This window comes from Homo sapiens, chromosome 4 (assembly GCF_000001405.40).
Source record: "Homo sapiens chromosome 4, GRCh38.p14 Primary Assembly".
NCBI classification, from domain to species: domain Eukaryota; kingdom Metazoa; phylum Chordata; class Mammalia; order Primates; family Hominidae; genus Homo; species Homo sapiens.
In genome coordinates, this window is record NC_000004.12 from 160,993,812 (window position 1) to 161,007,332 (window position 13,521).

Here is a 13,521-nt window from a genome sequence, read left to right on the forward strand (position 1 = left end):
GTTAATCACTTTCTCTTAATATTTTCTGGTCAAAGTAATGAGATTAACTATTTATTGGCATTATCTCTTTTATTTTTTAATTTATTAGCTTTAGAGTTCTAAGAAATGGCTAAGATTTCCATCAAGAAATAATTACATTTGAAGCCTAATTTATAAAAATATATTATCTAGGTTAGTATTCACAGTATAGACTTTTTAAATTTTGTTTTCCAACACTCATAAATATTTACTAATCTGTCTGAGAAAGGAAGAATTTCTGATTAAAACAAAGTTTCCTATAACTTTATTGATAATTAGGTCTAATTGAAAATTTTGCAAAGGAAAACCTATATGGTTGTCATATTATTGTTCTCCTTTAAATAAAAGAATACAGTAACATATCTACCAATTTTTTTATATAGACCACATCCATTGTGCATAAACCCTGGTAGTAAATTGATTTCATCACTGAATTTCATTTTTAAAATCCTTTTCTCAGATCTCTTACCTTGAATCAATACACCAGCCTTTGCTGTCAAAACATCAGAATGTCAATCAAATAAAGTTATATTTTATCAACTAAGAGAAAATAATTGTTAATTTATATCATCAAATAGAAGTCAAATAAGAGAACAGTATGAGATTGAAAGTTGTACTGTCACTTTTATACAATAAAATCTGATATTGATTTCCTTACTGCAATATCTGATTCACAACTTGTTAAATAGATTTTCATATGAGTTTTATTCATCACTGCATATGAATGAAGGACAGTTCTGAAATAATGAAAGTACATTTCACTATTCACTAAAAGGACATTTAGTCACTTTGATTTGTGATGTGAGACTGTGTGTGTTTGCTTATATATGAACAAAATGTTAGCAGTTAGCTTGTCTTAGGTTCAGCTATTAGAATCAATAATCAGAATTGCTTTCCTGATGCCAAAACTGCAATGCTAACAAAATTATATAGACAAAAATCAATATGTAGACAAATGTTGTTTTTCATAATTTCTGACTCTGGGAATTATCCTGAAAAGCCAGATACCTTTTTTTTTTTTTTTTTTTACTTTCTACTTTTATTTTCAATTCAGGGGTACATTTGCAGCTTTGTTACATGGCTGTATTGTGTAATACTGAGACTTGGGATAGGAATGATCTTGTCACACAGATAGTGAACATAGTACTCAATAGGAAGTTTTGCAGCCATTCCATCCCTTATCCCCGCACCGCTGTAGTAGTCCCGTGTCTATTGTTCCCAACTTTATGTCTATGTGCACCCAATGTTCAGCTCCCACTCATAAAATGAGAACATGAGATGTTTGGTTTTCTGTTCCTGCATCAATTTGCTTAGGATAATGGCCTCTAATTACATATATGTTGCTGCAAAGGACATGATTTTGTTCTTTTTTATGACTGCATAGTTTTTCATGGTGTATATTTTCTTTATTCAATCCATCCACCATTGATGGGAAACTAGGTTGACTCCATGTCTTTGTTATTGTCAATAGTGCTATGATGAACATGCAGGGTGTATGTGTCCGTTTGGTAGAACAATTTTTTTTCCTTTGGTAGTTCTGTTTTAAGTTATTTGAGAAATCTCTAAACTGCTTTCCACAGTGGCTGAACTAATTTACATTTCCACCAACAGTGTATAAGTATCCTCTTTTCTCTGCAGCCTCTTCAGCATCTGTTATTTTTTGACTTTTTAAAAACGGCCATTCTGACTGGCATGAGATAGCATCTCAATGTGGGTTTCATTTGCATTTCTCTGATAATTAATGATGTTGAAGACCTTTTAAAATATTTGTTGGCTGCTTGTATGTCTTCTTTTGAGAAGTTTCCATTCATGTCCTTTGCATACTTTTTAATGGGGTGTTTGTTTTTTGCTTGTTGGATTAAGTTTCTTATAAATTCTGGATATTAGACCTTTTTCAGATGCATAGCTTGTGAAAATTTTTCTCCCATTCTGCTGGTTGTCTGTTTACTCTGTTGATTGTTTATTTTGCTGTGCGGAGCTCTTCAGTTTAACTAAGTCCCACTTTTCATTTTTGTTTTTCTTGCAATTGTCTTTGAGGACTTAACTATAAATTCTTTGCCAAGGTCAATGTCCAGAATGGTATTACTTAGGTCTTCAAAATATCTTTCACATATCAATTCAATTCAACTGAACAATATAAAATAGTCACATCCGATAAATAATTTTTTTCCTTTTGAAAAAATTTTATATTATTTCATATACCTACAGAAAAGTTGTAAAATAGTACAAAATAATGATAGATAAACATTCATATATAATTTTCTAAACTGTTAAAGAATAAACTGCACATCTGATAACCATTTAAAAGTAAATATTTTGGTTTCTATTTGCTATAAATGAAGTACACGGTGACATGTCCATAAACACATGTATTTATATACCCGTATGCCAATTACACTAATGCAGAAAAAATATTTTATCTAATTTACAGCCTTTTTGAGATTCTATAAATTGTTTTGATAATATTATTGATAGTCCTATAAAATTCAATATTATTTATTGTATTATTTGTCGCATCTCTTTTTTCTTTTTTTTAATCTGGAAGAATTTCTGTGTCCCTCTTTTGTATATATGACCTTGATATTTTTGACAGGATGTTTACCTTGTAGAATGTCCCATCTTGTGATGTACCCTTTGATTCTTGATGTGAGTAATTCAGGTTTTACTGTTTTTGTTTATCAATGTCCAGTTTTGCCAGATTTTTGTTGATTTAATGGTCTTTCCACAAAGCCAACTATTGGTCTTACTTATTGTGTTCTGCATTTGATTTTCATTTCAATGATTTCTACTATTTCCTTACTGTTTTTTCTACTTTACTTAGGATTAATTTGCTCTTTCTCTTTCACACAATTACAGATTTAATTTTATCTTATTTGTATTAATTGATCATTGGCTTTATTGTATTTTATCTAGTCATCTAGCATCAGAAAAAATAATGTTTTTGTTTATAGGCTTCTTCTATGGCCCATCATATTTTTTTTGATGTGGTATTCAATAAATATAAATTAGTTCAAGTTTATTGACTGGGCTTTTCAAATCATCTAATTTCTTTGAGAATCAGTTCAAATAATTTTTCTATTCCAACAATTACAGCAATGTTTTAATACAACCATATTCTAGTACAACAGTGTTACTGAGAAAGGTTTGTTAACATCTGTGGTAAGAGATAAAATGTCGACGCATGATAAAATAACACATAATATTTTTCATTTTAGTTTTCCTCTATGTATTTATGAGATAGGTTTAGTTTTTCTCTATGTATTTATGTTATAGGTTTATTGATATGTACATTTAAAATGTAGACTTTGTATATCTACTTGATGAAGTTAATGTTTTCAGTCCACTGACACTTTATCTTACATTGTACTTTTCAGGATTTGCTATAGCCTTACCACTCTATTTGTTTTTTGTTTATTTAATACATCTTTTATATACTTTACCTTTCAACATTTTTCGTTACATTTAAAATGTGTATTTTATACATTTCATATAACTATGATTTATGTTATTTCTGGTTGCCAAACTTTATTTAGAGCATTTAGTCTAAAGTAAGGTTTTAGTTTATATATACCACATTACTTGTTTATTTTATTTGCTGTATCAATTTTATGCTCCATTTCTCTTCTTTCTTGCTGCATTTTGAGTTGTCAACATTTTTAAAGTTATAATTTACTGATTACTACATAAAATATTGAAACATAAGTGTTCACTATAAATGAGTAATTTTACATATTCCCATAGAGTGTAAACAACATGGAAAATTTTAATTCTATTAACTTATCCTGCAATAAACCATTTTGTCATGCATTATAACATTTTGCACTTAACATTTCTTAAAAACTATTATTATTGTTATATGTAGTTGATGTTAATTCAGATTTCCTTCAAATTTAGTCATTCTTGTGGTCTTGATTTTAATTTTTTTCTATCTGTATCTCTGAGATTCTAGCTAGGACCACTTTTCTTTAGGAAAAACAATTATTTAAAATATTTTCCTTGGTTAAGTAGTGCTGACAAATCGGAAATTTTGATTCTCTGAAAAATATTCAGTATGCCTTCATTTGTATTTGTAATTAATTCATGTATTTCCTTTTAAGATAGGTTTTCACTCTTCATAGAATTCCACTTAGTCAATAATTTTTAGAACTTTGATCACATTATTCCATTTTATCTTCCATTATTTCTGTGTAGATGCCAGCCATAAGTTTAGGTCTTTTGACAAATTTCTGTATCCTTTATATACATCCTGCTTGGGATTTTTAATAATCTTTTAATCGGTGGTTTAATTTCTTTTACTAGTTTTGGAAACATTATACGTATTATGTCTATATATTGCTCCTTCATATTATTTTCTCTGTGACATTTAAATTGTGCATGTATTAAATAAATGTAGAATATTTATTTATTTATTTCATTACTGTTCTTTTTATTTCTAATTTTTTTGCCTTTGTTCTGAAAATTTTCTTTTGAGTAATAATTCAGTTCACTATTTCTCTTTCATTTGTGACTAATATACTGCCAATCTCATTTAGCTGATTTCTAATTTTATATAATGTGGTTTTATTTTTTAGTTTTAGAATTTTTATTGGTGTTATTTTTATATTTTACAGTTCTGTGCCAAAAGTATACTTTTTTCCCTTTATTTTACGATTTAATCATATATATTTTAAATATGGTGCTTCATATCTTCTAATATTTGGATAATTTTTTAGTTTTTTTATTTGACATGTTTTCAATGGGTTATAAATAACATCTTATTTCTATTTCTAGCTATATTTCATCAAATGCTTGGTATTATAAATATAGCTTGTGTAAACTGTTTGTTTCTACTAATAATATTTTTCTCCAAAACAATTTTTTGCAAGTTTTAGTTTAAAAGCAAATAGATTCATGTGGGGGTAGGTATAATTTAATGTTCAGCCCTAATTTGAAGGTTGGTCTTTCTTTGTTCAGTGATAATTTTTAGGGTTTAGACCTTCTAGATTCAAACAAACAAACAAACAAACCAAAAAGCAAATTGCTTAAGCAATGGAGGGATGAAAGAAGGTTCTTGAGATTCAGAGCTTATTGAGTATATTTTCTCAGTATCAAATCTGCAGAAACGTCCTTTCAATTTTCTAACATTTCTTTCCCTAATTTTGCAACTAGTAATTGTTCATTGGAAAATATTTTAATTTTTGCTGCTTTCCTTTTCTTAACTTCTAAAATCTCATTAACTCTCTAGCTCTCTGATGTTTTCAATCCAATTTTCAACATATTTTGTATAATTTTTATATGTGTTCATATTGGGAAGACTACCTAGCAATAGTAAATAGCACATTGGAATAAACAATCTAGCAATAGTAAAACTTTGGAAAGTAAAACTTTCATCAAGTGTTTGTAATGTACAGTTTTTATCTATATTTTATAATCACAATGTATAATATGTAGATATTATAATGTCATATATAACACATGGAAACCCTAAAGTAGAAACTTTATAAGTACCTTTACTTCTTTCAATGCAATTTCTAGATGAAACATAAAACTTTGATCAATTTTATTGTGACAAATAATTTTGAATAACAGCACCATGTGCCAGAAATAAGCTTACAAATGATTTAAATATGCAATATACATATTTTTCTTTTTTCACTATGAACTCTACATTCTGCTTTTTCTCACAAGACTTCTAAAGATAATCATTCAAAATATGTATTAATTACAATTTTAAGTATAAAATATTCTATTTGAAATTACCAACCTAACATAATACAACTGAAAATTGATACATATTGTTAAAGGTCAAAGTACATTTAGTTTACAATAATTTCGTTGACATGCATAATCCATAATCTGAAAAAAGATAATAGGCTATTATAACTCTTCTTTAATGAAGCTACTAAAGCAAAGAGAGTTTTATGTTCGAACTCTTCAAACATGCATCACTCATAAGCATATGCCTTTTCCCAGATGTGCAATTCATGCTGAAGAGCAGTTCTTGGAATGCTTTTGCAATAAGGTCCTTCAACTTCACAAAGAATCATTCAAATAAATACTCTGGGATTATTTTATTTATTTTTTTTAATTATACTTTAAGTTCTAGGGTACATGTGCACAATGTGCAGGTTTGTTACATATGTATACATATGCCATGTTGGTGTGCTGCACCCATTAACTCGTCATTTACATTAGGTATATCTCCTAATGCTATCCCTTCTCCCTCCCCCCACCCCACTACAGGCCCCAGTGTTTGATGTTCCCCACATCTGGGATTATTTTTGTGTGTGCGTGCGTGCGTGCGTGCGTGCATGCATGTGTGTGTGTGTGCGTTTCTTCCCAAAATGGTATCTATTCATTCTAATTATTTGCTTTTACATGAACAGTTTTTAAAATAGATACATCACTGCAGATAACTAAAAATGTGGATGTGTAAATGTCAGATGCTCCATCTAAGTACAATTTTATGATTAATTTTATGTTGATATTATTTTTATCAATTACATAAAAATATGTTATGCTTTTGATATGAAAATATGGTTTTATTTTCAGTGACATGAAATCTGGAAGTCAACAAAGAATCATTATTTTAATGATGCAATTTTTTTAGTTTATTTTACTATTTTCTTTCATTCTTGTTTTCATTATCAAAAATAGGAGATATATAAATGAACTTTAAACACAGATTAGCGTAAAAATCAGCATCTTAATATGTATTTGAATTATTTTCTCATTTTTAAATCCCCACACGTTTTTGTACCTTTTGTCATTTCCATTGCATATGTTTCTATTTATAAAACACTTAAGTGGAGAAAATAATGCTACTTGTTTATCTGAAAACTGTCTTTCTACATAAAATAAAGGTCAAGGTAAATTTAACCAAAAAACTGTAAAAGCATCTATATTTTTTAAGTTGTAAAATTTTGCTTTTGTCTCCTTCCCAATAACAATAATCTCTAACAATACTATTCTGAGAGTTGTTTATCAAAATGGGTAAATTATTATAGAGAAAAACAGAGCATGCACAGTTCAACTAAACAACATAAAATGAAACTATATAATAAAAATGTATATGAATGACAACTGTACCGAGTCATCAATAAGGACAAAACGTATTCTTCCATGACAGATGCAACTGGTATCATTTAATCAGTATTCATGGGTAAATATGAGACAAATATTATTGTGATCAAACATTTTCTAAATAAAGTTTAATGTTTCATATTATTAAAAAGTTCCTCATTCTGATTTGTTATTAAATTTTGTGTACTCAATACCAAACTCAATATCTTGAATATAGTAGACACAGCTGCATGCTTCAGATATTTTATTCCATTGTATTTTGTTCCATCATATTTAATTATATTTACTTTCCGAGATAAAGGGATCAGAAATATTATTAAATGTTAAGTATAGATGCCCATTTTTTAATACCAATAGAAAGACTTCTAGGTAAGCATAGAAACATGAACACATTTTTTTCTTCGATGAAACCTCAATAAAATAACTGTAAGGGGATTTTTTTGATGATGCACTAACCTACAAAGAATAAAGTTGTGGATGAGCAAATTTAAGCATTAGAGATACATAATGAAAAGAGCTACAAACATAAAATTTATATGGGTATGTGTTAACTGCCATTTTGGACCTGAGAAACCAAAACATAAATGCCTAATAGGAGAAAGAAGTAAAGAGTCTAGAAATAAACTGTATCACACAATGGAACTCTGAATGGTTTCAGCAGTTTTGGTCACTATACCCATTTAAAAGTGCGGTTAAAAGTGTATCTGAAAACATTTAAATCCTACAAAGAAAATTACTAGGTGCCTTTTCTCTACCTGCTAGAACTTTGGAGTCTTGCTCTTTGCAGGTGTTCAAACAGCAATACAGTACATTAAGGGCATGGAACTTGGTGAAGACAGAGATGTTATATAGGAAATACAGGGAATCATGTGAAAGTCTGGGTGATCAATTTCTCCAATTTATTTCCCTTGGCTACAGTAAACACACAATCAGATTACTCCTGGTTCGCTGATACTCCACCCTCACCTCCACTCCTACTACTACCAGTAACTAGACAAAGATACCTCTCTGTTACAACCAAGGAGAACAATAAACCAATGATTGCACTCATCAAGTGAAATGACTGAGTGCCTAACTAGTAACTTAAACTTAAGTCCTCTAGTCTATAAGCCCCAGCAATGCTCACAGATTCCCTGAAAACTTTTAATATCTTTCTATTAAATATTTTTAAAAATGCCAAATGTAACCAGATGTGTGCAGAAATCCTCTAATATGAAAAACAAACCCAAGCATGCATCAGGTAATGAAGAACCAATAAAACACAAAACAAACAAACATAAATTTAAAGGAACCAGAGATACAAAATAGTGCATGTACCAGGAAAGAAAAATGACAACAAATCTGATCATTGATATCCTAAATAAAGGTAAGTAAACGAAGATACAACTTTCGTGAAAAACAGAGCACTATACTATACAAACGTACGTTTAGAAAGCATAGAATGGTCTTAAGATACATATTTCAGAAAGCGTCACAGGATCCTTAGGTTGTCACTTGACCAGCCAGAAATATCTGTGGCCAGCAGTGCCTCTGCTTGGGTTTTGCTTGTGCCTGCTGGGCTGATTTTGCCCACTCGGCCTGGCAGACTACACTCCACTAGTGCTACTGGCCTGGATCCCATGCCTGCCAAGGGCGATCCAGGTGCAGAGTGAGGAGGGGTGTGTGAGTGAGCGAGCATGGGGTCTGGTCACTGCACACAGCCAGGCATGCTAACTGCAGCCGGGTGGGCAGCTCTCAATGCCAGCACGGGCGCCGGCTTCATGCGAGGCTGCAGCTCAGCCAGAAGGTTTCTAATGTGGGCACCAGCATAAGGACAAGGGGAATGCAGTGGCACCTGAAAGCTTGGAGACACCAAAAACCTAAAGAGGGTGTTACAGTGTGTCACAGCCCTGGCTCAGGGAGCACCTAGGGCTCCAAAAGGCACAGCAGCTCTTCACTCCTTTTTATCACCTGCAACATGGCAAGCAGGGGGAATGTTTCAGCCCTGTTTGTTACAACTCTTTCAGTCTTGCCATTGGGCGGGTACCCAGTTCATGTCCCACAACCAGGAAGAATTAGGTACTTGGACAACTGGAGAGTGAGCAAGGAAGAAAGGAGCTTTATTGAGTGAAAGAACAGATTTCATGAGGCCAGAAGTGAAAGTGAGTAGCTCCTTTCCACAGGTATGTGGTTCTGACGAGTGTACAGTTCCTCAGGGGAGAGGCAATGCAGAGTGTGTAGGTTCTTTCTGCAGGGAGGTTGTCCTGGTGAGTGGAGGAGACCCAAAGTGGGTTCTCCTTCCCTCAAGCAGTAGTCCCAAGGTCTAAGTCTCACTGAGTCTGGGATTTTATGGGCTCAGAAGAGAATAAGCCATGCTGATTGGTCCATGGATGGCAATGGAAGGGCCCGGAAAAAGCACCATCTGAGTGGCCGAAAAGTCATCAATGAAGTTTTCACTCCAGGCTGTGGACTTTGCCTGGAACTGGCAGCCTGGCCCCCAGGCTTCAGGCCATTCCTAGCTTGAAGGTGGAGTTTCACTGGGGATCTGACCATTTCCACCCAGGAACCTGTCTGCCTTCCATCATCAACATGCCAACTATGGCACCCAGACTGTTTGTGGTGAGGGGCGCCTGTAGGATCCCATCGAGCTGCCCTCATTGCCCCCTGGTCTCCCTCCCATGCCCGTTGGTGCCCAAAGTCTGTAGGGGTCCGAGGTGTTAGAGGACTGACATGTAAGTGCCACCCCAAGCGTGTGCACACCCAGCTGGGTCGCAACAGCAGCTGGGCTCGGCCACAGCTTTGCTCCGCATAGGATTGGGTGCTGGGATCAGGAAGAGGCCAGGGAGAAGGAACAGCCACTTCTGACCCTACAGGGGCAGGGTGAGGCTTCCTGAGCCCCCGAGAGCTCAGGATTACCTAGGTCCAGAGCCGTCGCTGGGCGGCTGCAACTGTGGTATGAGAGCGCAGAGCTCTTGCCCTGCTAACTATGTAGGACTGGGGCTCCCACCTGTTCTCAGCTCCTGCGGGCTCCATGGAGCTCTTAGCCTTAGCCATGCCTCCCCCACTGCAGCTGGCATCACTGCAGCAGCTGCTCCAGACAGGCCATTGCCGCCAGCAAAAGTAAAACACAGAATAATATCGTTAGAAAATAAAACTGAAAAGGATTTAAAAATTTAGAAAAATATACTATTTAAAAATACAGAATCCTACAGTAGAGGAAATGGACGGAGAAAATGATCAAGGAGCTAACACAAGAATATTTCCCAGAAATAAAGAACATAGGTATGAAAATAGAAGTATCTTAAAAAATGGATAAAAAGAAGGTTCATGCCAATACATTATTATTGCATTTTTTGAACGGAGAAAAATGAAAGATGTGTGAAGAGAAAGAGTGTGTATAGAAGGATCAGGAATGGCATAGGACCTACATATCTAGAAGTTCTTCATGCTTCACAGAGAAAATACTTTTTAATCTAGATAGCTGTATCCAACAAATCATCATTTGAGGGTCAAAGTAAACCAAAAACATCTTCAGAAGGGCCCTTTTAAAATATTTACTTTTCTAGTTACAGAAAGTAACTATATCAAGAAAAATAATAAGGTACAAAAAGATGAAGAGGGACATGGGAGAAAGAAAGAAGAGGTTGACCTTCGAAGAGGGGGGTGAGAATTTCCAGGGTCAAGAGAAAGGCTATAACTTTTTAAAGCTGGAAAGTAGGTTTTGAGCGAAAGTAGGTTCCAGATGAGGGTCAGAGGACTGAGCAGGTCAGGGAGGTATAGTCATTTAAAAAGTAAAATACACATTTTTCAATACTTGTTAATTATTAAAAGTATAATTACGATTTTATCCTAGAATTTAAGTTTGAATCTATGTTAATTATGGAAAATGTAAGAGAATGTTATGAACTCCTGGATCAAACATGATTGAACTAGAAAGGAAATATATTGCATACTTTTGGTTTGGGGAAAAATGTACTATTCGTAAACACTGAATACTGATTTAATCTAAAGTTATATGATAGCAATGGGGACATGATGGAAAGAGAAGAACGTTGACATACGTTTATGTTGAGTTATGACAGATGTACACCTGCTGTAAGAGAGCTACATCTTTAAAATCTGTGATAGAAAATAAATTGATAGTATGTAGAACTTTTAAAAAAGTGTTATTAATATAAAGATGTCATTAAAATATGTAGAAAAAAGCAGAATAAGCTACTGAATGAGTTTAAAATGTTTACTTCTCTAAGAAGGAAACAGGAGAGGTGAGATGTGGAAAGCGAATATTAGCTTTTGGTTTGAGCCCTGTAAAACTAACTGACTTTTATATGTATGTAGTGGTGTCATAAAATTTAAATTAAATGAACATAAAGTATATTATTCTATACTTGAGTCTCATGATGTCTCATACTACAAATGCAAACACTTATTTAGAAAAAAAACCACAAAAATTACATGCCAAAGTAAAAAAATATTTGGTGACATTCATGTGAATAATACATTTTATTTGGGTTAAGCTTCTTTATAAGACTGATTTTATACATTTATTTTATGTCACAACTTCATTGCTATGATATATTCCTCTTAATAGGTTTATTTTGGTATATATTTATTGTATCTCCTTTCTTCCTGGTGTAAAATAAATTAGGATTGATAAATACGGAATCACTTGCTTTGATCCAAATATATATAAATAACAATTTTAAGCATTTTTGGTATAATTAGGAGGAAAAAGGGAGTTTGATTGCTACATTTGACTGAATATTTCATGAAATATTTTTCTTGATTATTGTTTACATATTAAATATAACAATATGATTAGTCCTGTGATCTCTGCACTTCTTGCTAAAATATGATGAAAATATTTCTCCAGTCTCCTCAGGAGCCGGGGAGAAAAAAAAATCTACCAAGCTTGGAATTATGCCACTGATATTTTATTAAAATGATATCTATGTTTTTAACCCAATTACCATTGAATGAGCATCTACTGTAAGAGTTTTAGGCGCTCCTCTGGGCAAAGAAGACAGAGATTTTTAAGTCATAATCTTGTCTAACAGAGCCTAAGGCATTTCAATTGTGTCAGGAATTCAAATGTAATGAAGACATCTGTTGTTGGCAGAAAGCAAGTGAGACTTTGTAAAGGAGGGGTCTGAGGTTTAGAAATATATCATGAGACTGCTTCATGTTTGATTTTTCATTAGCAGATGAGGATTTCCTAGAGAGAAAATATGACATCCTGAAAGAAGATATATTATATATATCATTTATTATTCTTGTAAAGGGAGATACTTAGCAGAAAAGATGGTTTTATTCTTACTCAATCTGTATTTTCATCAAATACTTTGTATTTCACTAGTTTTAATCATGCATTTGCATTTGTGTGTATATATAAATGTGTTCATGTGTGAATGCTGCCAGATCTGTTAATTTTTTATTTTCTTTGAAGTCAAGGAGAACTCTAATCTTTTCCTCTGCTTCTTTTTCACTTATATGTCATTTGTCTTACATTCTTCATCAACTCTTTTTTTACCTTATCTTTCTCTTCTAATAGCTGTCATAGTTTTATCTTTGTTCTGTTAACATACAATGGGTCCAAGCAGCTTACTACTAATAATTTTAGTACTACATAGAAAATAGGATTTAATTGGAGTAACCAAAGGCTTCAAATGCTTTACACCCTCTTAAAAAAACTTTATATTTTTTTTTCCAGAGGCGCTTTTCAGTTCAAGTTTTTAATGCAAAGGAGAGTTTGATTAAAAATGAAGCATTTTAAGACACAATTTCTTGGTGGTGTAATTTGGTAATCATTGCTTTTCATTTCTTCACTTCGACAGTCTTGTTTTCATCAAAGACTGATTTATAGAAAATAAGAGCCACATGTTAATCTGCTTTCTATCCTTCATGTGTTCATTTTGTGCCCTTCTAACTTTAGAATTGGAAGACTGAGTAAACAGTCTTCATTTCTTCTATGGCTACCCACAGACCTAGGACCTTATCACATAAAGCAGAGAATCAGAGTGGGCTGTTGAGTAACACTTTATTTTACATAACTTTTTATTTATTTCCAAAGTCTGAAAAAGTTTACTTCAAACTGCAGCAATCATCTTTATTTCGGTTTAAATTATGTTGAATATGAGAGATGATCTCCACACTTTCGGAGTTGAAGTTGTAATTTTCTTTACTTTATTGCTGCAATTGCAGAACCTAGCATGTTCCTTGCATACACTAGCATTCAATAAATATGTGTTAAATGGATGAATTAATGAATCTATATTCTTTAAATTACCAAGAAAAATTAATAAAATAACAGTTGCCACATAAAATGCTAAACTATATCAAATACTGTGGGTTTTTTTTTTGTGGTGACACATACATTATTTAAAGCATCTTAGCAATAATATTTCCACTGAAAATACCAGAAACAAAATTCAAAGATAAAGATGTAGAATAATTTTGTTTCTT

General features: G+C 32.6%; 2 annotated features.

The window, feature by feature from the left end:
• Positions 12,146 to 12,315: an enhancer, noted in NCBI's record as "experimental_75168 CRE fragment used in MPRA reporter constructs". NCBI's record gives its function as "activates a minimal promoter by MPRAs in K562 erythroleukemia cells, with activity observed for both the introgressed and non-introgressed 4:161927194 or rs34479926 variant alleles {active_cell/tissue: K562}" and the evidence as "EXISTENCE:reporter gene assay evidence [ECO:0000049][PMID:34662402]".
• Position 12,231: a transcriptional cis regulatory region, noted in NCBI's record as "Neanderthal adaptively introgressed variant 4:161927194 (GRCh37/hg19 assembly coordinates) or rs34479926 in the experimental_75168 CRE". NCBI's record gives its function as "modulates activity of the experimental_75168 enhancer by MPRAs in K562 erythroleukemia cells {active_cell/tissue: K562}" and the evidence as "EXISTENCE:reporter gene assay evidence [ECO:0000049][PMID:34662402]".